Below are 27,638 nucleotides of genomic sequence, written 5' to 3' on the forward strand. Positions count from 1 at the left end.
TCTTATTTAAGTACCTATATTGTTGATAGTTTGGTTTCTTTCCATTTTTTCTATTGTAAGCAACTGTGAAATAAACATATACAGAAACATTTATCCATTTTCCTACGATAGATTTCTAGAAGTGAAACTACTAGGTCAATGGGTATGAAAACGTTTAAAGTTGGCTTTCCTTTTAAAGAAAATCATATTTGGGTTGTTAAAGGATTACTGACACATCAACTGAGCACATCTTTGATTACTGTATAGCACCTCATATTCAGATAATCTCTGCAAACATTGCCATGAATTGACTGAGTATAATCTTTTATTTCAGGCACCAGAATGCATCTCTTCTATCTCCTGTTTCTTGGGACAGAAATCAGGAGTTCTGACTGAGCCCATTTACAAGCTGTGTCAGACAAGCACTCATGCCCATCTTGTTTATGACTGCCTGCTTACCCATTGCTCTCCATATTTACATTTTCCTTCTTTTCTCTTCCTTCAGATGGAATGGGGCGAGTCCTTGCTCAAGATGTATATGCAAAAGACAATTTACCCCCCTTCCCAGCATCAGTAAAAGATGGCTATGCTGTCCGAGGTAAATATTTTGGTTTTCTTAAACATAATCAGGCACTGTATTTTTTTTTCTTTTTTTCTTTTTTTTTTTTTTTTTTTTTTTTTCAAATTTTTGGCTTAGCCCAAGCACCCAGCAACTGTTAGGTTTGTTTCCCCATGACTGTCAAAATAACTTCATTCACAGATAACCATGTTAATCTGCACCTGTAAATTTTCTGGCACAATCTTGATTAAAACTTTTGAGGTAAAGAAAAGTTACATGAAAATTCTCGTTTTAAATTTTTTATTTTTAATATTTGTGGATACATGGTAGGTATACATATTTATGGGGTACATGAGATATTTAGATACAGGCATACAATGCATAATAATCACATCAGGGTAAATGTGGTATCTGTCACATCAAGTGTTTATCCTTTGTGTTACTGAAATTCTTGGCTACAAATAAATATATAGGAATAAAATTAAAACACTGTACTTCAATTTATTCTTTCCGTTCCTACACATGCCAGACAGCATACATTCTTAGTGTGAAAGTTTTCCAGATGTTTTCTAGTTGAAAACATCTGATGGTCTAAGAAAAAAGAGCAGATTCCCAACACAAGGATAAAGTTGAGGTGGTCTGTTCTGCTTTCAACTCAAACATCAGTAAAGGGCTTCATGAAAAGCGGACATGAGGGAAACCTCTAATTCTCTAGAAGACATCATATTTCAAAATTCTGGCGCCCCAGCAGCTCACACAAAGTTGCCTGAGATTGCATAAAGCTTAAAAGCAAATACTAAATAGCATTTTTCTGCCTAAATTCCAATCTAAGAACCCCAAATGTAAATTCTGAATTGCTTAGAAACTGTTGTTGATTTTTTTGGTTTTGTTTTTGTTTTTCCATGTACAACATGATATTTTAAAATATGTAGTACACATTGTAGAATGGCTTAGTTGAGCTAATTAACACATGCATTACCTCACATACTTATCATTTTTGTAGTGAGACTTAAAATCTACTCTCTTAGTGATTTTCAAACTATGATACATTGTTATTATGTTATTGGTTATTAATTCAAGGTTGATATCATTGAAGAAACATGTTTAAAAAGTTTTTCAGTTTATCAGAGCTGTTAAGCATGCCAATTCCTTTTTAATGGGGTACATGAGATATGGAGTTATGGAGTCTCTTACTTGGTTTTGGTTTTGGTTTTTTTAGCTACATTTAGCCATGAAAATACAGGTTGGGCATCCCTAATTCAAAAATCCAGAATTTGAAGTACTCCAAAATCTGAAATTTTTTGCGTGTTGACATGGCACCACAAGAAGAAAATTTGATACCTGACCTCATGTGAAGGGTCACCATAAAAACACACTCAAAACTTTGTTTAGAAAAATTATTTGAAACATTGTTTAAAATTACCTACCTTTTGGCTATGTGTATAGGATATATATGAAACATAAATTAATTTTGTGTTTAGACTTGGGTCCCATCCACAAGATATCTCATTATGTATATGCAGATATTCCAAAATCTGAAAAACATCAAAATCCAAAATACTTCTGGTCCCAAGCATTTCATATAAAGGATGGTCAACCTGTAATTTCCTTTTTCCTGTAATTAAATACTTCATTAATCTCCTCTGTATTCCATCATCTCTTAGTAGTTATCTTTTTATGTTGGAGATAGCATAGCAAATGATTAAGGCTACAGGCATTGAGCAAAGCTCAAGTGATCTGGGTTTTAGTACCAGTTCCATCTGTGTAACTTTGAGCAGCTCACTTAAATTTTTTAGCTTCAGTTTTCTTATCTCTAAAATTATGATAATTACAACAATACTTACCCCAGCAGGTTGTTGTAAGAATTATATTAAAAATTAATTGTAGAAATTAATTAGTTGTAGAAAGCCTTAGTAAACTACCTGGCACACATTTAAAAAAAAAAACACTTGATAATTGTTTTTTAAAATATTTAATGATAGTAACCATTATTATCATATTATAAATACATTTTCTTAAACTATCTCTGAAAAATGGCTAACATTTGAATTGCTACTCTCATTTTCTGTGTAAATAAAATGGTAGAGAGATTGAGCTTATGTTTTTTCATTTCCACTAATGTATTCTTTCTCAGGAAGATTATCTTGGATTCACTTCATTCAGCTTGATCTCACTAGATTAGAATACTTCTGAAATTGGCAAAGCCAAAACTTAAATACCAAATTCCCAATGGCTCCTATGTTTTTTTCTTTCAAATTGATTCCTTCTACAGTGTTGATTAGAATAAATATTATCCAGACAGAAAATTATTTTATTCTTGTGATAGCTTCACTGGCTCTTCTAGTTTCTTTTTTTTTTCCCAATGTCATTGTTGGCTTGAAATAGTTTCTTATTGCCCATCTAAAAAGTAAATTCTGTGTTGATCTTACAATTTGTAGCCATACAGGATTACTATAAAATGACAAAGAATTCTTACTTCCAGAGTAGAGCAAACAGCTACAGTAGATGAAACACCAGAGACAAAGAAGTCTGTTTTTTATAGTCTTTGTAACATAATGTGGGAGAGAGTGAGAAAATAAATTATTTGAGGCAGAATTATTCCCAAACAGAATATTGTTCTGTGATTTTTACATGAGCTAGCAGCAGCTCAATTAAAAAAAAAAATGGTTGCTGTTAGCTTTTCTTGTTGCCAAAGGGAGCCATTAGCCCTTATGAGCTTTTCTGACACTGTACAACTCATCAAAAAATTTTTATGTAAAATTACCATTTAGTATCCTATTTATGCTTTTGTTTGAGAGGTTTTTTTTTTTGTTATTTCACCAAAAAAAATCTAAAATGGTATCTCACATTATAAACAGTCCAAGAGATTATCTACCGTGAAGCTGATTCACATTGTTTCTTTCTTGCAAAGGGTTGGTACTTCTCCAAGATATGTAACATATAAGAGCGACATAAGTGATAATCATTGCATAAATGGTTAAATCTCAAAGTAGGAATGGTTAGTATGTCTGTGTATACAATATGAACATCATAATTAAAGAAGCAAAAGTCTTCTGTAGACAAGTGGCATGGTCTTAGAACTATGCTGAATTTTCCAGTTTATACCTCCTCACTTTTTTGTCTGTAATTCAGGAAGATAAACTCTATGAATCCTAAAAGTGATTTTTACTGTATTTAGTAATAAAGATGATTTTCATTTCTTTAAAGGTAAATGTATTCATTAGCCTCTTTTCTGTTATAAATACCACCCCCAGGCAGTGTTTTGGTAAAGAATATCCTTGAGGCCAATTATTGTGGCTAAGACCCTCCTTTGAGTACCTCCTTCTCTCTACCCCTGTCTTCCTTTACTCTGGTTCCTTTCTCCCTGCTCCCTTGATTCTCCCTATTTTCTTCTCCTCTGCCTTTACCTTAGGCCTTCCAGTAATAACCAGTGGCACTCGTGGGCATTGCTAACCCTCTAGGTGTAAAGATGTTGCTAACTTGCTCTGGATCACTAAGCATTAGCCAGTATCCTTCAGAAACATGTGGGATAAAACTCCAAACCAGTTGGAGGATCACTTGCTTTAAGGTATGTGAGTTCAAAAATCAAGACAGTAATAAAATGACTAAGGAAATAAGTAGAAACAGCTCAAAATAAAACATTAAGAAAGAATAGAATGTAAAGAAGGCAGGAATAAAGTAATGATAATATAAAATAATAGGAAGACCTGTAAACCTAAAACTGCATTCACGTGGGAGTGAATTTGAAAGATAAAAGTAGATAAAATAAAAATGAAAGTGGCATATTTACAATTTGAATCAATACAGTATTTTTATTCTTCACATTTTTCGATTTTGTTTCTCCCTTCACACTGATGAAGCTAATCATCCTCTTGATGCATTCACATCCTCCTATATAGATGTAGGTGACTATTTTATCACACTTTCTTTGTGGATATTAATAAGGGCAAAAATATGTTAGAACTCCAAGTTCAGCTTTCTTGAAAAAGTTCAATTTGAAAGGTTTATCCCTTCAGAGCTTATTTTGGGATCATTTGGAAAAAAGGAATATTTTGAACAAACCAGGAATTATTTTCAGAGTCATAGGTAACATACAGTTCTGAAAAGATATATTAAGAGAAAGTTTTGCCATTTGGGTAGAGAGAATTTAAAAATTTTTTTTTCTTGTTTACATTCTGATTGAAATTACTTATGAAAAATGCAAAAATAATGAAAAAGAACATTTTAAAATTACCCATTAACTTACCCCCTGGCCACTATTAGCATTTTGTGCATTTACCTCACATACAGTGGGTTAGAATACACCAAAATTCAATATAGACAATCCACAGCCATTGTGACTTAGACCTAGTTCTTATTCTTTCAACAGTAATCATATTTCAGGGCTTTTGTTGTATCCATTTGAATCCTCTTTCGCTACAACTGGTTCTGCAATTCATTTGACAGCCTATTTTGCCCTCTACTATAGGATACTTTCAGTGAAAAAGAGGGCCTTATGATATGGGAGTAATACTCATGTGAATAGATAAATAATTTGGAATAATTTAGTTTAGTTAATTCCAAAAAGAAAATATTTCTGAAAATAATGCCTTCTTTCCCAATACTAACAATTAATAGGCATTTTCCCTGGAAGATAATGGTAAAGAATACACGATGCCTTCTTACTCATGTATCCTATGCCCACCTCCCTGCGTTCCATAGGAAAAGGTAGCCAGTTTAAAATTCCAAACAATTTACCTAATGTAATACTTGAGTGTAATTGCAGCAAGTATGAATCCTCTTATTCCAGCTTTGTCACCTTCTCTTGTTACCTTTCCCTACCAACCCCTCCTATAATCTTAACTTTAGTATGCATATAAATACTATTACCCTGTGCCCTTCTTGCAGTCTCAGACAGTGTAGTTCTATAAGCAGAGCAGACAAATTACTATTCCTTCTGCCTTATTTCTCTATCAACTATTTCCTAGGACCTCTGAAAGTTATGCCATCTCTATGTGCTCTAATTTGTTCAGCCTTAAAGTGGAAATGATGAGACTCTTTAGTATTGAAAATAAATGACTAGCTATACAGTATTTCAAGAGACTTAAAGAAAGATCACTATGGCTGGAAAATGAAAATGAAGGATAATTCCATGGCAGATGATTTGAAGATCATCGTTTTCTGTGTACACAATGAGTAGTTATCTAGTGTTATCAATTTCATATCAAATAATATAACCAGAAATCTTCAAATAAATGGGTGAACAGAACTAAAAGTGTTTTCTGGATATTAGAAAAAGGAGGAATAAGAAGGAACAGCTTCAGGGTCTTGCATTAAACATTAATTGTTTACATAATGCATATGCCATTAGGGTTTGGTTTATATTGCTTTTATCACTTCTTTCAAATTAAATTCTACAGTTGCAAAGCAGAAAAGAAATTCATTAGCAGATATGTCAGAATTACAAGGGAAACAATTCTAAATCTGCAGAAGTCCTTCAAATCTATTCATCTTTTCTAATGACGTACTGTGGTTTACTTTCTTTTTTTCTTTCCAAGCTCTAGGTTCATGTGCTATCATGCCTCCGCTTCTGCCCTCTCCTACCTAAACTTGTAGAATTCATCTTGAAAAACTGCAACTTTTTAAAACCTGTTTCTTTCATAGATATTTTTAAATAAATATAGCCATGCACCACATTAGCATTTGAGTCAAAAACAGACTCTTACATGATGGTGGTCCCATGAGATTACAATGGAGCTGAAAAATTCCTATTGCCAAGTGAGATTGTAGCCATTGTAAGGTCACATAGTGCAACACATTACCTTTCCTATGGTTAGATATGTTTAGATACACAAATACTTAACATTGTGTTACAGTTGCCTATAGTATTTAGTATTGTAACATGCTGTACAAGTTTGTAACCCAAGAGCAATAGGCTATACCATGTAGCCTAGTTGTATAATAGGCTATACCATCTAGGTTTGTGTTAGTACACTCTGTGATGATGTTCACACAACAAAATTGCCTAACAATGCATTTCTCAGAATATATCCCCATTGTTAAGTGACTCATGACTGTATCAGGAAGTTAGATAGATTGATACTTATTTTTCTGTCTTCATAAGACAAACCTTGGTGTTAATGTAAAATTTGGACTCCTGTAGTTCACTAATTTTTTTATTCCTTAAATTTTCTCTTAGTCTGAATTTGTCTATATTCAGTTTGATCTTATAGTGCTCTGCTCCTCAAAAAGGGTAATCCATGGACCAGCAGCCTCAGCATCAGCTTGTTAGAATTTAGAATCTCACTGTTGGTGGGACTGTAAACTAGTTCAACCACTGTGGAAGTCAGTGTGGCGATTCCTCAGGGATCTAGAACTAGAAATACCATTTGGCCCAGCCATCCCATTACTGGGTATATACCCAAAGGACTATAAATCATGCTGCTATAAAGACACATGCACACGTATGTTTATTGTGGCACTATTCACAATAGCAAAGACTTGGAACCAAGCCAAATGTCCAACAATGATAGACTGGATTAAGAAAATGTGGCACATATACACCATGGAATACTATGCAGCCATAAAAAACGATGAGTTCATGTCCTTTGTAGGGACATGGATGAAATTGGAAATCATCATTCTCAGTAAACTATCGCAAGGACAAAAAACCAAACACCGCATGTTCTCACTCATAGATGGGAATTGAACAGTGAGAACCCATGGACACAGGAAGGGGAACATCACACTCTGGGGACTGTTGTGGGGTGGGGGGAGCAGGGAGGGATAGCATTAGGAGATATACCTAATGCTAAATGACAAGTTAATGGGTGCAGCACACCAGCATGGCACATGTATACATATGTAACTAACCGGCACATTGTGCACATGTACCCTAAAACTTAAAGTATAATAATAATAAAAAAACAAAAAAAAAGAAAAGAAAAAGGCAAAAAAAAAAAAAAAAAAAAGAATTTAGAATCTCAGACCTTGTCCCAGCCCTACTAAATTAGAATCTGTATATTCACAAGATCTCGAGATGATTTGCATGCACATTAACTGTTGAGAAATAAGAGAAATAAGAAAAATGACTCCTCTCTTGGTACCAAGAAACTTCTATGTAGTTGTTTGACTGATTCTTCCTTAGCTAGCAATATAGAGACACATTTACCAACTGGAAAGGTTCAGAGTAAGGTTGAGAACATAGTGCAAGTGAGCACATATTCTCTCCACAATTGGTATACTTTCCCTGATAACAAAGACCTTGCTCCTTAGAATCGCTTCAGAGTACTTTCACATATGGACCTCCCTGGAACTCCATACTAGGCTTGCCCCAGATGACCTCCCCAGATGACCTCCAGCTACTCATTATTCAGTTTATTTAGAGGATTATGCAGAATATTGATATGAGCATTTTGAGTTTATGTGCATGTGTGGGGGAACAGGAGAAAAGAGAAATACTTCCCACCAAAAACTTTTTGAGAATGCCAACTTCATTTCTTTATTCTTTTAACAAATATTTATTATCAGCGATGACTTAGGCACTATGCTAGACAGAATAATGACATAATCTAAGTTATACAGAATTAATCAAAGCAGTCTTTTTTTTTTTTTTTTTGAGACAGGATCTCGCTATGTTGCTCTGGCTGGAGTGTAGTGGTACAATCCCAGCTCACTAAAACCTCCACTCCCCACCCCCCACCCGGTTCTCAAGCCATCTTTGTGCCTCAGCCTCCCAAGTAGCTAGACTACAGGCACACACCACCACACCTGGCTATTTTTTGTATTTTTGTAGAGGTGGGGTTTTGCCATGTTGCCCAGCTTTGTCTCAAACTCCTGAGCTGAAGTGATTTGCCCAGCCAAAGCAGTCTTTCTAAACATTCTTAAGATGTTGACTCAAATTTTGAAGGAAACAATATATATGGATCAGCAAAAAGTATATATAACAAATATAAAACTTTGTGTTAGAAAATATTACTTATTTGGTCATTCGTGCATGAATCTTCTAAGAACGTTTTTGTAGCCACATTCATTCGTCTGCCAACCATTTTTGAATACTTAACATATTGAACATTTATTTAACACCTATTGTACAGCAAGTGCCAGGGATTAGCAAATACTGTAAATATATTTAGAAGCCATAATTGATTTCAGGCTACACTGGGGAAACAAAAGAGGATGCACGCAACTCTTGAGGGGAGAGGAGTCAGATATGACTTCACAGAGAAGATGACACTTGAGCTGAGTCTTAACAGCTAAAAAATCTTTAATCAGAAGGCAAGAATAAGAAAAGGACGCTTTAAGTAGTGGAAGTAGCACATGTCACGGAGCCAACATATGAGTTATCTTGGTATTCTCAGGGATAGTACTAGCAGTTGATAATAGCTAGAGTATAAGATATAAGGAAGACATGAACCAAGGCCTTTGCACATATGTTCTCTTTGCACACAATGATGGAGCACTTCCACTTCATGTCTATCTTTTCCTCTCTCTCCCTCTCCTTCTTTCCCTCCCTATTTCCCTCCCTTTGTCTCTCCCCACCTACATACCTGCACACACACACCCCTACTTAGCTCTTACTCATTCTTCATATTCAAATCAGAAATCCTTTTATCATGCTTTTCATGACTCTCCAGTGTAGCTCAGGTACTTTAATTATATACTCTCATAAAATCATGTTTCTTTGCTTTGGAGTGGTTTTCTTAATTTGTATTTATATATTCATTAATGTGATTATTTGATTAATATCTGCCTCTCCTGATGCATCAGTGGCTTTAAGAGTTTTATTTTAACCACACCCATGGGAAGAAATACATTAAATATATTATACATCAAAAGCCAATGATATACACACACATATATAACATATACAGTACATATAAATATACATACATACACGTATATAAACAAAAATAAGTTTTATGAAACAAGAGTCATCCTTACCATGTGTGTTGAAATATATTTTTATCCTTTTCATTAGAAAATTGTTCACAAGTTGATTTTACAGCCTATCTCCATTTGTCATCCAGAGTTTGAAAAACCTTGTAACACACACCATCATGGCACATGTATACATATGTAACAAACCTGCACGTTGTGCACATGTACCCTAAAACTTAAAGTATAATAATAATAAAAAAAAAGATAAACCTAACCTGGAAAAAAAAAAGACAAACCTTGTAACAGGTTGGCACTGCACTAAAATAGAAGCAGCGTCTAGGTTTACCCCCTACTCTCTCTCCAGCCCTTAGTTTAACACTTGGGGCATAAAAGACACTCAGTAGACATTTACTGAATGAATAAAAGGAATAAAGAGCTTCAAAGGTATTGTTTTAAAAGTGTGATTATCCCCATTTTTACCAACAAGAAAACTGAAGGTGAGAGAGGTTTAGTAATTTTGCTGAGAGTCCCTGAAGCTAACAATAAACAGAACCAGGATTCAGATTCAGGTTTTTTTACTCTAAAACAATGCTAATTTCCCCCTTGTGCAGGAAGTAAAAAAAAAGAAAATGGGTCAGGCGCGGTGGCTTATGCCTGTAACCCCAGCATTTTGGGAGGCCGAGGCAGGCGGATCACCTGAGGTCAGGAGTTTGACACCAGCCTGACCAATATGATGAAACCCCGTCTCTACTAAAAAAATAAAATAAAATACAAAAATTAGCCGGGCATGGTGGCATACGCCTGTAATCCCAGCTACTCAGGAGGCTGAGACAGGAGAATGGCTTGAACGCGGGAGGCAGAGGTTGCAGTGAGCTGAGATTGTGCCATTGCACTCCAGCCTGAGCAGCAAGAGCGAAACTCCATCTCAAAAAAAAAAAAAAGAAAAAGAGAGAGAGAAAATACCTAGGTTGCTATAGGAGGTAGCAAGCTGATAATTATTTATCTAGTAGAGAAACAATTTTAAATAAGTTTATTCACGTTTGAGATGCAGTTGGTGTGGAACTCTGAAAGATAATTGATGTTTTAATTTTCTACAGTAAGAAAATTATCATTTGCTCTGAAAGATGGCAAAAATAAGTGGGGGGATAGATGAAACAAGATTGGTAAAATGTTGATAATTGTTGAAGCAATGACGTCTATGTCTGTTGTAAAAACTTTTTTTTTTTTTTTTGAGACGGAGTTTCACTCTTGTTGCCCAGGCTGGAGTGCAATGGCACGATCTCAGCTCACCACAACCCCCGCCTCGCAGGTTCAAGCAATTCTCCTGCCTCAGCCTCCCGAGTAGCCGGGATTACAGGCATGTGCCACCATGCCCGGCTAATTTTTGTATTTTATTTTGTATTTTTAGTAGAGACGAGGTTTCTCCATGTTGGTCAGGCTGGTCTTGAACTCCCGACCTCAGGTATCTGCCCGCCCGGGCCTCCCAAAGTGCTGGGATGACAGGTGTGAGCCACCACACCCAGCCTGTTGTAAAAACTTCTTAAACTTTAAAAAAAAAATAACCCATGAAAATGGCTTAATAAAATAACATTACAATAAAACTCTTCTATAATACTTTTTACAAGTAAAAACTGAACAATGTAACAGGATTCAAAAAAAAAAACACAAGAAAGGCAAGAGTTTATTAACTGAGATAATATCTGTAAAGCATAAAATACAACATCCTGTGACAGAAGGGACCCAGTGTTAATTTTTGTCCCTCTTCACATCAGGCTAACCAAAGCCATTTATGCAAAAAAGGGATGACTTCATTATAAACGGTGTTTTATATAAGCCTTTAGAAAAAAATAACACTTTATAGCTACATAAACGAGCAATTAATCTAATGTCCTTTTAAAAAGAGAAAATATCATTATTAGTATGATTATAAATGTAATCTAAATATTCATATATAATGTATATATTTTTTGTAGATATGCTCCCAAAACTCTGCTGTTTGCAGATAACATGAAGGTAATGGTCATGATTTTAAAACTTACTAGATAGGCACTTTTGCCCAGTCGTATTGGTCTGAAAGCCACATCATATGTCAAGAAAACTCTTTGAATCTCCAAGAATGTTTCTTCATCTAGCCATTGTTATACTGTACATATTTTTTAATAAATTTTTTATCCCAATTATGGAATTTTTTTTTTCAATTTAAAAATAAATAGCCAATGGAAAATGTGATGCAGTACTGCCTATGTATTCTAACTCATAAATAGAATTTTGATACATTATTTTAAAAAACTGTGCTACAATTACAAGACTGGATTTTAGTCCTAGCTCTACCATTAACCAGAAATTGTTCAGAGTACTTTACCTTTTCTTTCCACCTGAATTCTTTCATTCTATAATTCATTTCCTTCAGCTGTCAAATGAAGAAAGGAATGTTCTTCCTATTTCACATCAGGAAGCCCAGACTGGGAGACAAATAAGAAAACAGTATGAAGTTGTTAAAATGTTATAGAAAAATGGAGACATATGGATATGTATACAAATAGTGATAAATCCATTTATATATATATATATGTCCATGAGTGTACACACACACATCACACATACATACACATGGATAAGGTGGCATTTATTTAGGAAGATTGGCTAGAATAACTTATTAGAAAAGCACAAGTGTGGAAATTACGAGGTGACAGGAAGACCACCTCCAGTGACACCATGGCACAATTAGGCACCAGTGGTACAATTAGGACCACTTCTATCAGTGCATGTGAGTTGCGGATACCAAACATTAAATCAGTCGTAACAAAGCCATTGTCAAGTCTAGGAGATCAGAAAAATATTCCACTTCTCTAAGCCTTATCAAATAATTTGAGTCAAATTTTAGAATTCCAATTTTAGGTTCTTGTTCCATGCTGTAGGTCCATACTGATGTTTGTTCTTGGCTCTGTTCCATCTCACAGCTGCTGATGGCCCAGGAGATCGTTTCATCATTGGGGAATCCCAAGCTGGTGAACAGGTGAGATTGATAGGCCTGAAAGGCACTGAAGATTTCAGCTTCATGGACTTTGGGCATCTAATTCTAAATTTCTCCTATCAGTTTAGTGGAAATTAGAGAGAGATTAGTCAGAAGATTATCAAAGGGATGAAAGTATAGTTCCCAGGAGAACCAAAAGAATTATTTCTTAATTGAAAGTATCTACATCTATTAATATATGTCATAGTATTATTAGTATGTCTCACAGACATGCCTTACAAGCATTTTCCAGACCTGTGATTGGGTGATTCTTTTTTTCCTGAAAAAAAAAATGTTCTGAATAGAACAATTTCTAGGTAGTCTTCTCAGACTTTTCCCCAACTTGTGTTACAAATGGGGAAACTTAGAAGTAGATTATTTAAACTTTTTAGCTAATTATTTAATTTAATTTTTCTCACTTGGGATCTAGCCAGGGAACAGGTTTACATATATTTTTATTAAGAAATGAAGCAATAATAGGCCACATTGGAAATACAAGTCCATTTGACACTTTGAGACCAGTAATTGGCCACTTAATTGAAAAATCAGTTAAAGTGGGAAATTATTTTATATATTTAAAATAAATATAAATTTAACTTAAATATTTATTAGTCAATAATTTGATGAAGAACCAAGGTCTTCCTTTTAAATAAGTATGCTGTTTTAATTTCTATCAGGTCTTTCTTACGTAAACCACACAAAAGGCAATGTCTCTGATTTCCATTTTGATTTCTTCAAAGTAGAAAAAAACTGAAGGATACTTGCAATACATAGAAGAGCAGAATCCTTTTAGGGTTTTATTATATTTTACACTCTTTTAGTTTCCTCACTCACACCTAATTTTACAGCATTTCTTTTTAGCAGCATTTTTAATGGAGGTTTCCAAAAGGTTTTACTTAATTTTTATAGGAAAAAAATAACATATATCATTGGTTTATGTATTATTTATTTATTTATTTATTTATTTATTTATTTATTTTTGAAACGTAGTCTTGCTCTGTTGCCCAGGCTGGAGTGCAGTGGCGCGATCTCGGCTCACTGCAAGCTCCGCCTCCCGGGCTCACGCCATTCTCCTGCCTCAGCCTCCCCAGCAGCTGGGACTACAGGCACCCGCCACCACGCCCGCCTAATTTTTTTGTATTTTTAGTAGAGAGGGGATTTCACCATGTTAGCCAGGATGGTCTCGATCTCCTGACCTCGTGATCCGCCCGCCTCGGCCTTCCAAAGTGCTGGGATTACAAGCGTGAGCCACCGCGCCCGGCCTGGCCATTGTTATGTTTAAGAGGAAATAGCATCTGTCAATCCGGTGAGTTACGAAGGTTGATCAACAGAGCTCCTACCTTATTAAATGGAACTAGAAGGAAACCAAAGAACTTTTTTCCTTTCCCTGCTGCTTCCCTTCAAAGTTTCCTCTTCCTGAGATGGAATACCCAACTGCTACTACCAAGCAATATATAAAAATAAAAGTGGCAGCGGGCGTGGTGGCTCATGCCTGTAATCCCAGCACTTTGGGAGGCCGCGGCGGGCAGATAACCTGAGTTCGGGAGTTTAAGACCAGTGTAACCAACATGGAGAAAGCCCATCTCTACTGAAAATACAAAATGAGCCAGGCGTGGTGGCACATGGCTGTAATCCCAGCTACTCTGGAGGCTGAGGCAGGAGAATCGCTTGAACCTGGGAGGCAGAGGTTGCAGTGAGCCGAAATCTCACCACTGCACTCCAGCCTGGGCAACAAGAGCAAAACTCCGTCTCAAAAAAATAAAAATAAAAATAAATAAAAGTGGCAAGAAATAAATAAATAATAATTTTTAAAATGAAGGCAGCAGTTTGGCAAACGCTATGTTCCATGCCTTTCTTCCTTGGCTTAGCATGGACTAACACTAGAAACGAGTTGAGATATATAGGAGAAGGATGATGCCAATGGTGTTGACACTAGCTTCTTCATTTTAGCATCCAAAAATTGAGGAGATTCGCATGCAACTCTCTGAAGCTAAGTTGGCACTATAGTGATACATATTCTCATCCATACTGCACCAAGCTGGATTTCATTACCATGACCATTTTTCTGACAAAAAGAACAGCTAGGCTTGATTCTTTTTTATAAATGACTTGTCTTGTTTGTTTGTTTGTTTGGGTTTTTTTGAGGGGAGGGAGGTTGTTCTTGGTTTTGGGTTTCTGGGTTTTTTCTTGAGACAGAGTCTTGCTCTGTTGCCCAGCATGATCTCAGCTCACTGCAACCTTCACCCCAGTATGGACTCTGTGTGGGGGCTCCAACCACGCTGGGTTCTCTATTCTGATCCATTGGTCAATGTATCTGTTTTGCTGTCCAAACCATGCTATTTCAGTTACTATAGCTTTGTAGTATATTTTGATTTCTGACAGTGGGAAGCCTCCAGTTTTCTTCTTTTTATTCAGGATAGCTTTGGCTATTTGGAGTCTCTTGTGGTTTCATACAAATTGTAGGATTTTCTATTTCTGTGAAGATTGTCATTGGTATTTTTATAGGAATTGCAATGAATCTGTAGATCGCTTTTTTCGTAGTATGGTCATTTTCACAGTATTAATTCTTCCAACCCAACGACATGGGATGCTGTTTCTTTCTCTTTTTTTTTTTTTTTTTTTTTTTTTTGTGGCCTCTTCAGTCTTTTTCATCAGTATTTTATAGTTTTCCTTATACAGATTTTTTACCTCTTTGGCTAAATTTATTCCTAAATTTTTTTTGTAGTTATTATACATGGGATTGCTTTCTCATTTTCTTTCTCTGCTAGTTTGTTCTTGGTGTGTAGAAATGCTATTCATTTTTGTGTGTTGATTATGTATCCTGCAGCTGTACTATATTTATCAGTTGTAAGAGTTTTTGGTGGAGCTTTTAGGGTTTTCTATATATAAGATCATGTTATCTGCAAACAGGGACAATCTGACTTCCTCTTTTCCCCTTTGGATACCCTTTATTTCTTTCTCTTGCCTAATTGTTCTGGCTGGGACTTCCAGTACTAGGTTGAATAAAAGTGTTGAAAGTGGGCATCCTTGTCTTGGTCCAGATCTCAGAGGAAAAGCTTTCAACTCTTCCACATTCAGTATGATGTTGGCTGTGGGTTTGTCATCTAGGGCCTTCACTGTGTACACTCATTCTTTCTATACCTAAGTTGTTGAGAGTTTTAACCATGAAGGATTGTTGAATTTTATCAGATGTTTTCCTAAGTCTGTTGAGATGATCATATGGTTTTTGTCCTTCATTCTGTTGGTGTGATGTATCACATTTATTGATGGGCATATGTTGAGCCACCCTTGCATCCCCACAGTAAATCCCACTTGATCATGGTAAATGATCTTTTTAACGTGCTGCTGGATTCAGTTGCAAGTGTTTTATTAAGCATTTTTGCACCAAGGATATTGGCCTATAGTTTTCCTTTTTTGTGTTGTATCCTTTTATGGTTTGAGTAGCAGAATAATGCTGACCTCATAGATTGAGTTTGGAAGAATTCCTTCCTCTTCAGTTTTCCAGAAGAGTTTGAGAAGAATTAGTATGAGTTCTTCTTTAAATGTTTGGTAGGATTAAGCAGTGAAGTCATCAGATCTTGGGCTTTTCTTCAGTGGGAGACTTTATTACAGATTCAGTCTCATTACTCATGATTGATCTGTTCAGGTTTTCTATTCTTTTTGGCTCAAGCTTGGTAGATTGTATGTATTGAGGAATTTACTCACTTCTGCTAGGTTTTCTAATTTTTTGGCATGTAGTTCTTCATAGTAGTCTCTAATGACCCTTTGTATTTCTGTAGTATCAGTTGTAATGCCTCCTTTTCCATTTCTGATTTTGCTTATTTGGGTCTTTTTTTATTAGTCTAGCTAATGCTTTGTCAATTTTGTTTATATTTGCATAAAGTCAACTTTAATTTCATTCATCTTTTGTGGTTTTTTAGTCTCAATTTCATTTGTTTCTCTTATCTGTATTCTTTCTTTCCTTCTTCTGATTTTGGATCTGGTTTGTTCTTGCTTTTCTAATCCCTTGAGATATATCACTATGTTGTTTCATTGAAATCTTTCTACTGTTTTGATGTAGGTGTTTATTGCTATAAACTTCCCTCTTAATGCTGTTTTTGCTGTATCCCATAGGTTTTTGTCTGCTGTGTTTCTATTTTCATTTGTTTTGGGAAATCTATTTATCTCTTAATATATTTATTGATCCATTGGTTGCTCGGGAGCATATTTTGTAATTTCTACATGTTTGTACAATTTTGAATGTTCCTCTTGTATTGATTTATAGTTTCAGTCCATTGTGGTTGGAAAAAAATTCGATATAATTTTAGTTCTTTTAAATTTGTTGAGACTTCTTTTGTGGCCTAATATGGTCTATCTGGAGAATGTTCCATGTGCAAGTGAAAAAAAAATGTGTATTTTATAGCTCTTGGATGAAATGTACTTTAAATATCTGTTAGGTCCATTTGATCTAAAATGCAGTTTAAATCCAGCGTTCCTATGTTGATTTTCTATCTATATGACTTGTCCAATGCTGAGAGTAGGGTGTCAAACTCCCCAAATATTATTGTATTGGAATCTGTCTCTCCTTTTAGATAAATAATACCTGCTTTATAGTGGGTGATCCCATGTTCAATGCATATATGTTTGCGATTATTGTATCCTTGTGATAAATTGATCCCTTTATAATTATAGAATGACCTCTCATATTTCTTTTTACAGTTTCTGACTTAAAGTCTATTTTATCTGGTATAAATGTGGCTACTTTTACCTGATTTTGGTTTCCATTTGCATCAAATATCTTGATTCATTTCTTCACTTTCAGTCTATATCTGTATAGGTGAAGTGAGTCTCATGTAGGCAGCAAATAGTTGGGTTCTTTTTTTTTAAATCCATTCAGCTTGTCTGTATCTTTTAACTACGGAATTTAATCTATTTACATTTAAGGTTATTACTGATAGATGAGGACTCCTGTCATTTCATTGTTTCCTGGTTTTGCTTACCCCTTGCTCCTTCTCTTATTGTTTATCATTGCAGTTGGGTGGTTTTCTACATTGATACTGTTTTATTCTTTTCTCTTTCTCCTTTATTAATCTGGTCTACCAGTGAGTTTTATGCTTGTGTGTGTTTTTATGATAGTGATTATTGTCTTTTTTGCTTCCAGATATATGACTCCCTTGAGAATTTATGGTAAGGCCAGTGTAGTAGTAATGAATTCTCTCCATTTTTGCTTGTCTGGGAAAGACTATTTCTCCCTCATTTCCAAAGGATAGCTTTGCTGCATATAGTATTCATAGTTAGAAATTTTTTTATTTCAGCACTTTGAAGATGTTATCTCCTTTCTTCCTGTCCTGTAAGGTTTCTGCAGAGAAATCTACTGTTAGTCTAATGTGGATTTCATTATATATGACTTGATTTGGAGACCTTTGGAATTCCTGGACCTGGATATCCATACCTTTCCCCAGACTTGGGAAGTTTTCAGCTATTATTTTATTAAATAAGTTTCTTATGCCTTTTCCTTTCTTTTTTTCTGAAACTCCAATAATATGAATATTTGTTCTTGTATGGTGTCCCATAAGTCTTACAAGCTTTCTTCACTCTTTTTCATTCTTCTGTTTCTCTCTGTCTCTCTCTCTTGCTGGGTATTTCAAACAACCTATCTTCCAGTTCAAAGATTCTTTCTTCTGCTTTATCAAGACTGCTATTGAAGCTCTCTATTGTAATTTTTTATTTCATTTTTTGAATTATTCAGCTGTAGGATTTCTGTTTGGTTCTTTTTTATGATTTCTCTATCTTTGTTGAATTTATCATTCTTATGAATTGTTTTGCTGATTTTGTTGAATTATCGCTAGGTTTTGTTTTTGTTTTTGTTTTTGTTTTATCTAATTGAGTTTCCTTAAGATCATTATTTTGCAATTTCTTTTCCAGGAGTTCATTGATTTCCTTTTCATTGGAGTCTGTTACTAGAGATGTATTCCTTTAGTGGTGTCATATTTCCTTGCTTTTTTGTGTTTCTTGTGTCCCCATGTTGATCTGTGTGCCTAGTGGAACTTTTGCTTCTTTCAGACTTTCTGGGTGGTTTTGTAGAGACGCCTGTAGTTGGGCTTTAGTGTGTTGGTTGCAAAGGGTATGGTGACTTTCTGGACAGGTGCAATGGTGTAGTCTCCTTGCAGCTTTTTCAGTTGCATTCAATGTCAGTAATAACTGTGAGTACCTCAGTGGCCTAATCCATAGAAGTTTGTGTCAGTGGTAGTAGTGGCATAGGCTGTTAATATCCTTGGTGTCAAGGGCTTTTAGAGTCCTCCTCTTCTTGTTTTCCACACAATAGGGAGAATCAGCTGAAGGGATCCCTCTTGGTGTTAGGTCTGACATGCCCTCCAAGCAGCTACAGTGGCACTGGGCTCAAAATATGGTGCTTGGAGTGACTGTGGAGCCAGGATCCAAGGCTCAGGGTCTTGTGAATCCATTGTGGCACCTGGTTCTTGGGGTTCAGGTTCACTCTCTGTGGCAGAGTTGGGTGTAGGTTATCCAAAGAACCAAGGTTTATGACTGAGGCACCCCCTAGCAGCTTGGACCCAGGTGCCCTGGTTGTACCTGTGATTTTATACCTCATGGGTAGGGTGTAGTACTGACCAAACTCCAAAGAAAAAGGTTTTGGCCAGGGGAGCAGGGTATGGCCGCAGCTCAGGAACCAGAGCCAGTAGGGCTCAGCAGCAGCTCGGGTCACAGTGGATAAGGTACTGTGTAGTAGTGACCCTAGACCCCTGGATGGTGGGGCTACGCAGGTCCTCACTTCAGACTCTGAGGCCAGGTGCAGAAGCAGCAGATACCTTAGAATGGCAGAGCGCAGCTGTGGTTTGATCCCCGGGGGGGCCAAGGATCAACACAGAAATGACTCAACTCCCCAGAGAGGGGGGTATCTCAGCAGCTCAGACTCTAAGGGGCTATAGTCTAGCTCCAGAGAAGCAGGGTACTAGAGTTATTTGGCCTGTAGGTCAGGATATCTTGGCTCAATCAGCACTCTGTTTCCCTAGGACATGAGTGACTACATCAGCTCAGCCTGGGATGCGTAGGTGCTCAGCTTGGCAAAGTGTGTGCAACATACTTTCTAAGCCTTGCCATAACAGAGCAATATGTCTGGAAAAAGGATGATTAAAGAAGATTAGAAACTATCTCCAATGTCTGGATGGAGTTAAGGGAAACCAATAAAGGAATCTGCAGCACCCAGGAGCTAGCAACAGTGAGATTTCCTTACCACATCTTAGTCTGAAGGAGCAAAGAAAGACAATGGTACCTGAACCTGGGAAGATTCATATCTGTGGGAGAGGACTGCCCAACAGCAGCTCTTGCTCTCAGTAGGAGAGATGCCCTAACCATCACCAAACTGCAGCCCAGGAGGAAAAGAGCAAGGGGAATGAAAACTCTACTTTTCTGTCTCTCTCCTACCCTCTACATCTCTTACTGACCCCTCCCTTTGGCTGAGTCTCACCAGACGCCAAAGTGGTGGGAAACTGGTTAAAATAGTCCATAGAGGTCAGCTTCTGGACCACAGCACAGAGTAGAGAATGATGATGTGATCTGGAGAGGCAAACAGAAAATGAAACAAATCTTTGTCTTTGTAAGGCTTATATTCTGTAATATATAATGCACTTAACATTGTACCTAGCATAGATTGTGGGTTCAATAAATATTAGTTATTGGTAGTATTGCTTACAGTAATAATATTATGGAGAGAAGATTTTTAAGACTTTTGTAATAAATTTCCTGTTTTACTTTGATTGTACTTTCAGTAGTAAGGTATTTTTTTTTCTTAACCATTCCCTAAGGGGTGTGTGTGTGTGTGTGTGTGTGTGTGTGTGTGTGTGTGTGGTTTATTTTACTTTGTCTTATTTTGGTGGTTAAAATAACAACAATGACAAAACATACACACACATAACATTAAATATACCATCTTGACAGTTTTTAAGCTTATAGTTCAGTAGTGGTAAATATATTCACATTGTAGGGACTTAAGATTTTAAATAGAGTCATGAGTTACTTAATGAAGATATATTCTGAGAAATATGTTGTTGGGCAATTTTCTTGTTGTCCGACCATCATAGAGTGTACTTACACAAACCTGCATGAGTAGCCCACTACACACCTAGCCTACATGGTGTGACCTGTAGCTCCGAGGCTACAAACCTGCACAGCATATTACAGTATTACTGAATACGTAAGCAATTATAATGGTATTTGTTTATCAAAACAAAAAGTACAGTAGAAAATATGGTAATCTTATAGGACCACCATCATATATGCAGTCCAACATTGAGCAAACTATCCTTATGCAGCACGTGACTATACTTATGAGGCAGACATCTTTAGAAAGGAATCTTTTGGCAGGGGGGATTAATATTGTCTCAGGATTTTTTCTTAGGGAGAATTTGAAGCATTCATTTTCCAAACTCCAGTCTAAATCATTGCCCCTGACAAGTGACTTTCAGATCACTTCTCTATCAGATCAAATCTATCAGATGAATCTTACAGAAAAATGCTTTTCCTCATGTTGTAAGAAGTTAGCAGGGAAGGTTCTGTCTCTTATACCATCAATATGAGAGCACAAACAATGAAAATCTTGTTTTTCATTTTCAAAAGTAATGTTTAACCTAGGTCATTACAGACACTGGAATCATTTTTAAATGATTTAATTATATTTGCTCAACCTCTATTATTAATTGATAGGTGAGCTAATGTGTTTTAGAATATTTTCAAAGGCAATAATTAAAATATTTCTGGCTTGCCTTTATTTAACCAAAAAGTTTAGTTAATAAAGTACTGCATTTCTCAAACATTAGAACTTCAATAAGTTATGAAGATTTTTTTTTGTAATTGTTATTCACAATGTATGTCCTAGCAATTTTTTTACTTACAGACTCTCAAATCACTTTACATATATTAGGAAAATGTACATTATTTGAGAGGCAAAAGTGGCAAATGTAAATGGCAGTTCTTCAAAAGTAAAGCAGAGCACCAAGACACCGAATAGTCATTACCTTAAAGTACACATAAAATCAGCTTAAATGAACCTAAAGCCCCTTTAGTGTGAGTGCACCTGTTTGTGGATAGCTTTTATTACACTGGCCCAAAATGAATAAGACTGTAAGACTTTCTTTTATGGTTTATTTTTTAATATTAAAAAAATTAACATCCTCTGCAGACTTTTCCTTTGCAGCAGCAAAGTACATCAACTGTCTTTTTCATCTTTATTTCCAGCCAACTCAGACAGTAATGCCAGGACAAGTCATGCGGGTTACAACAGGTGCTCCAATACCCTGCGGTGCTGATGCAGTAGTACAAGTGGAAGATACCGAACTTATCAGGGAATCAGATGATGTACGTCATCACCAAGTCTTACTGTGCTGTTGTTCCTATGGCAGTATTATGTCACAACCATTTTCTGCAGTGTTTGTGAGATTAACCCAGTTTTTTGGGTTGTTTAGTTTTGTTTTGTTTTTGCTTATGGTGGGATCTTATATTGTAGTATATGAGTCTCCAGTAAATAAGAAATTTCCTTAATCTTGAAAATCTGTTGTTACAGGAGGGGTTTCTATGATCATTGCTGTTATAGCAGAATTTGAATCATATTTGACCCAAGCAGTTTCACATGCAAACAACGAAAGAAAGTACCTCAAGAAAGAAATGCAGAGATATTAATGGTTGACATACCTTCCAGAGCAGAGATATTAATGGTTGACATACCTTCCAGCTGAGAAATTTGCCATTGAGACTAGCTTCTGATAAAATGTCAAGGAGTTCATGAAATCAGAATTTACTAGAGAAGAATTTAACAAAGAGCACTTGGGCAAGTTCTTGAATATTACACTAAGCCAAGCATTTGAACCAAATGACCCTTTCACCTCTGGTTTTCTGTAAGTCTGGAAAAAGCTGTGCCACCAAATGACAGCCTGGAAATATTAAGTGTATGTCAGTTCTCCCTCCATTGCCTCAAGTAAAAGATGCTGGAATCTTTTTGGACCTAAGCAAGCCTTTATCTCACTGAAAATAGTGGCAGGTTATTGAAACCAGAGTATAAGCCAGTAATAAAAGTAGAATAGATTCAACTGAGGTTTTAATAATCAGCTCTCTTACTTGTTTTATGAAGAAAGTAAAGATATATTTTAAAGCTGAGGTGAAAAATAAACATATATTCTCCCAAGCCGAGTAGATAGTAAAATTGGCCATGCCAAGAGACAGACACTTTCCCTGATCTGGAGATTTTCTTTTTAATCACCTTTCCATATGTAAGGCTTATAAAATTCAACCCTTGGCAAACAGATCACATTGCCTGCTGTTAAAACTGCCTAAGCAGATTTATTGGCATCAGGGAAGCCAGCAAAGCACTGAATTCCAGAACACATACATCCACAGACTCTGCCAGATGACAAGACACAGTTCCAATGTCACAATATTATTCACAGCCCATAAATGTAAAATTGATTACTGCAATTAATGGACAGAAATCTACTACCAGGCAAACTATAAGTCCTTTACTGAAATTTCTGCAAGTATTTGGTAACCTTGGCATGGTATTGAACCCATGATTCATGGGAAAAGAAGGAAGATATTACCTCCACACACGTTCACTTTATTAGGGTAGCCACCTACATATGTATATAAAAATATATAAACAAATTCTATATAATGTATTAGTTCAAATATTAAATCTTATAAACAAGATTTAATATTTGAATTGGTACATTTTTTAAAAGCATAAAAATTGGAGAAAAAAATTTTTTATTTATTGGCACCAAACCTTCTAATTTTTCAGGAACCTGTGTTAGAAATTCAGTGTTTTCAAAGGGTGTAGCAAATAGTTTTCTTTTTGTCTATATTTGTATATATCCTGGGCCTATCTGATGGTAAAAGTATCGGAGTAACTAAATTCTACTGCTCAGAAATTCTGTTTGAAATTACATGACCGGCTGTTATTATAGGGCACTGAAGAACTTGAAGTGCGAATTCTGGTGCAAGCTCGGCCAGGCCAAGATATCAGGTAACTTCAAAACACATAGAATATATAGCCTACTTTTGTTTCTACATGATCATTTACTCAGGAAACCCTGGCTACTATAAATCTGCAGCCATGTCAGTTAGCCATTAATTTTCAGGGCTTTAACAAAAAGCAAAATGAATGTTATGAATTCTGTATCACATATCTGCCCTGCCTACTTTTTAATGAAGATGGTAAAGGCGAGTTAGTCAAAAGCAAGATGAGAAAGAGGTAAAGTCATGAGCCTACATATTCTACAGTTAATTCTACTTCTAGATAATCCAGAATTACCCAATCCCATCCCTAAATAATCTGGAATTTGGTATCAACTCAGATAATACCAGAATTGGGTATTTACACAATTAACTAATAGCATATGCTCTAGTGACTACCAATAATAATGGAATAATCTGTTCCTTGTTATATACAAAGATGAGGCTATTTGCTATGATAAATAGTGCATATACCTTAAATTATTTTTCTTAAAATGGAATATGTTTACCCTGATTCCATTAATACTAATTTGCTGAACATCCCTTTGTAACGAAGCTACACTTCTCCCATCCCTATGGCAGCACACCAAGGTTAATGTACCTCAGTAGCCACAGATCAGGACCAACCTAAGTGGTCCATATGGAAATTACCTCTATGACTGTAGCCTCATTAGCATTATTCTCCTTGACAAAGCTAGCCAGCTGTGGACCTCTTATCATTAATGCCGCTAGATATTGCCATACAAATTCTTGCCTTATCAAAGAAAGTTTACAATTGGTATTTTTACTATAATGTAACATAAAACAATTTGTAAAGTAATTTTATTCACAGGTACTCATGAAAAAAAATTTCAAATATGAAGTAACATGTTTTTCTTTAGCAGTAATACATTCAAATCCTATTTCTGTTTTCTGTTGTGTGATTTAACTTTTAAAATTAAAAAAGCATAGGATTTTTAGAATCCCTTCAATTCATTGTTTTCCTACTACTTTATTTCTAGACTTTTTTGTCTTCTTGAATGTCCTTTTTTGACACTAAAGTTTCCCTCTGAGTTGAGAAAATGTTGTTCTCTAATCACACTGCTTATGGTTCTGCTTTGACTTTCAGACCCATCGGCCATGACATTAAAAGAGGGGAATGTGTTTTGGCCAAAGGAACCCACATGGGCCCCTCAGAGATTGGTCTTCTGGCAACTGTAGGTGTCACAGAGGTTGAAGTTAATAAGTTTCCAGTGGTTGCAGTCATGTCAACAGGGAATGAGGTATTAAAAATAAAAATGGAGGGAGTGGGGAGAGGGCCCATAAGATAAAGGTATTTCTGACATATGTTCTGTGTTGTAAATAGAATGTTGTAGATTATAGATCATACCAGTGGATCCACATTCTTATAACAGGGAAACAATAAATTGGCTTTAGGATAGTTTCAAGTTCAGAATATGAGAACAAAGAAGAACTAGTAAAAATTATGTATTATGAAATGTTCTCTTCTATTAGAATGAAATATTATAACCAATGGCCTTTCCACAAAGTCAGTACACATAAGCAAAAAACTTTAGCTGCTAGCTATAGATATTAAACTATACAAACTCAGTACTGTTTCTGTTTAGACAATGAATTGTGCCCATCCTGCTGCTGAAATGATGAGCTACTTCTGTGTGGGAAGTATCAATGAATCAGGACATCATGGCTAGCACTTCTTGTGAAAAGTTCCATTTGATCTTTAATCACTAAGAGGGATTTGATAATCAGGTTTTTTTTTTCCTCTCTCTCTCCCTAAAGATAGCATCTCTAGTGGCATGATATTTAGAATGGGTCAAAATGTCTTTTCATTCCTGATTTAGAAAAGAGAATTTAGTCCATCTCTTTCTGAGAACTCTTGAAAAACTTCCTATTGCTTGTTTTGCTTAGGTTGTGCAAAACTTCAGTCAGAAGCTCCAAGGTCAAATGGAGAATACTAAAAAGTGAATCTGCTGGAAACTCAAAACCTTATAAAAGAATCAGAAACTATTGAGATTTTTAAAAGTATTAATAATTCCTTTGACCTTACTATTAAAGAAAAGATTAGCGGGATTTTTTAAAAATCTCTTTGTTCTGAAAATAAACCCATCATTATTTTTAATTTCTTGAAGTCTTGGAAATGAAAATTTTCAGAGGTCTTTTTATGACATTATAGTCCTTTTGGTTAAAGCAAAAGAATAGACTGTTTTATTTTGCAAATAGATAGCTAAATCAACATTCCAGATGTGCTTACTTCCCAGTATATATGCACTAGTCATTTCCAAAAACTATTGATTGACAAAAAACATTCTTTTCAATTTGATCTACATAGTAATGATTTTAATATCCTTAGAACCAAATAACACTATATATAGCATCAGAAATAAATTTTTGTTAAACTGGTTGACTCAGTGAACTATTCTTTTTTATGATATACTTACATGCTTTGTGCAACAAGTAAGTTCATGGAGTTTGAGAAAGCTAAACAGTAGCACACTCATGGACCAGGCATGGTGGCTTATTCCTGTAATCCCAGCATTTAGGGAGGCTGAAGCAGGGGGATCAATTGAGGCTAGGAGTTCAAAACCAGCCTGGGCAACATAGCGGGACCCTGCCTCTACTAAAAAATTAAAAATAGCTATGCATGGTAGCACATGCCTATAGTCCTAGCTACTGAGGAGGCTGAGGTGGGAGGATCACTTGAGCTCAAGAATTCAAGGCTGCAGTGAGCTATGATGGCACTACTGCACTTTAGCCTGGGTGACAGAGTGAGACCCTATCTCACAATAAAGTAAAATAAGAATTAACACACTCATAATAACTATTTAGTTAATAGGAAACTCTGTTTAAGCGATATTGCTTATATTTCTCTCTCATGCTTTTGTAGGTCTGGACTCATCCTCTCAATTATCCACAGAGTATATTGTTAGTGTTTTGTTTAAGCTACCTTTTACACTCAATTAAAACTATTTACTGGAAGTAGGCTAAGGTAATGGGGTGAGAATAGAGATGGTATTATATCATGAAATCTAGGGAAGAGTTTGTAGTCTTAGTTCCCTGCCCCCACAGAGCTTATTACTCTTGAAGAAGCTTTGACTAATTCTACATGACTTATTCCCCTACTTTAACAGACCTGCTATACTAAACTATACCACAGTTTTCCAAGAGAATAATGCTTCTAAATTATATTATCTCTGGTTCCATATAGCTCAACATTCCTCCCTTTCTCTTATTCAAAGTTAGTTTTTATTATGACTCTATGATCATATAGTTTAGTTTTGTTCAGCAGATAATTGGGTACCTCTGTGCCAGGCACTTTACTGGAAATTGGTGATAAAAAAAAAAGAGATAAATAAAGCATATTATCTCTCCAGAAGGCTTGAAATTCTCAGATACCTAGAAAACAATAGCAAAAAAAAAATTACCTATTTTCAGAGAGGGCAAAAGAAATTGCACTTAATGTAGCAAGGCCATAATTTACCCAGTCACAGTACAAACTTTCCTTAAGTATTGGTTTTAGTTTCCTTTGATACATATGGTTTCAGGCCGGGCATGGTTGCTCACACCTGTAATCCCAGCACTTTGGGAGGCCAAGGCGGGAGGATCGCTTGAGGTCAGGAGTTCGAGACCAGACTGACCAACATGGTGAAACCCTGTCTGTACTAAAAATACAAAAAAATTAGCTGGGTGTGATGGCACATGCCTGTAGTCACAACTACTTGGGAGGCTGAGGCAGAAGAATTGCTTGAACCCGGGAGGCGGAGGTTGCAGTGAGCTGAGATCGTGCCACGGCACTCCAGCCTGGGTGAGAGAGAGAGACTCCATCTCAAAAAAAAAAAAAAGATATATATGGTTTCACATATGTCCACTTCTTGAATCTCATATGACATATTGGTAAGCAGGACAGTTGCCTTGGCAACCCAAAGAGTGCCGTACAAGATGTCTATGTATACTCTAAAACTTGCCCCAGTATTTTATTACTGTATGAGCTTGTTAAGGACCAGCAAATTATTTCAAAATTGGGGATATAGAGTTATCAACTATAGCTAACATGGAATAGCTGATTTCTGTATTCGTTGATTTCAACAAACTGTGCATATTAAAATTTAGATATGCAACCTGTGGTGATTCATGTCTGTAATCCCAGCACTTTGGGAGGCCGAGATGGGTAGATCACTTGAGGCTAGGAGTTTGAGACCAGCCTGGGCAACATGGCAAAACCCTGTCTCT

General features: G+C 35.9%; 1 protein-coding gene and 1 long non-coding RNA gene across 25 annotated transcripts in view, besides 2 other annotated features; one reads left to right on the plus strand and one right to left on the minus strand.

Annotated features, from left to right (window-relative positions):
• GPHN (gephyrin) overlaps nt 1-27,638 on the plus strand; it is a 1,227,209-nt gene that overhangs the window by 580,352 nt on the left and 619,219 nt on the right. For 22 of the 23 annotated variants that reach the window (XM_011536340.4, XM_017020913.3, XM_011536343.4 and 19 more), the window contains 5 exons: nt 485-577; nt 12,358-12,413; nt 21,642-21,761; nt 23,363-23,421; nt 24,520-24,673. The exons of the other annotated variant lie outside the window; for it this stretch is intronic. In XM_011536340.4, coding sequence (XP_011534642.1) covers nt 485-577; nt 12,358-12,413; nt 21,642-21,761; nt 23,363-23,421; nt 24,520-24,673 — 482 coding nt within the window. The remainder of the gene's footprint in view (nt 1-484; nt 578-12,357; nt 12,414-21,641; nt 21,762-23,362; nt 23,422-24,519; nt 24,674-27,638) is intronic. 23 annotated transcript variants of the gene reach the window in all.
• Nucleotides 1-27,638, minus strand: part of LOC105370538 (uncharacterized) — a 116,677-nt gene that overhangs the window by 15,811 nt on the left and 73,228 nt on the right. The window contains exons 3-4 of one of the 2 annotated variants that reach the window (XR_007064215.1): nt 19,876-19,964; nt 11,760-11,859 (exon numbers count right to left, since the gene is read on the minus strand). This is a non-coding gene — a long non-coding RNA (uncharacterized LOC105370538). Of the gene's footprint in view, nt 1-11,617; nt 11,860-19,875; nt 19,965-27,638 lie in introns of those variants that run through there. The other variant, XR_001750990.2, reaches the window with a different exon arrangement.
• Nucleotides 3,088-3,257: an enhancer, noted in NCBI's record as "experimental_36142 CRE fragment used in MPRA reporter constructs". NCBI's record gives its function as "activates a minimal promoter by MPRAs in K562 erythroleukemia cells, with activity observed for both the introgressed and non-introgressed 14:67558388 variant alleles {active_cell/tissue: K562}" and the evidence as "EXISTENCE:reporter gene assay evidence [ECO:0000049][PMID:34662402]".
• Nucleotides 19,935-19,984: an enhancer, noted in NCBI's record as "active region_8575". NCBI's record gives its function as "activates an Ori minimal core promoter by ATAC-STARR-seq in GM12878 lymphoblastoid cells {active_cell/tissue: GM12878}" and the evidence as "EXISTENCE:reporter gene assay evidence [ECO:0000049][PMID:35858748]".

This window comes from Homo sapiens, chromosome 14, assembly GCF_000001405.40.
Source record: "Homo sapiens chromosome 14, GRCh38.p14 Primary Assembly".
NCBI classification, from domain to species: domain Eukaryota; kingdom Metazoa; phylum Chordata; class Mammalia; order Primates; family Hominidae; genus Homo; species Homo sapiens.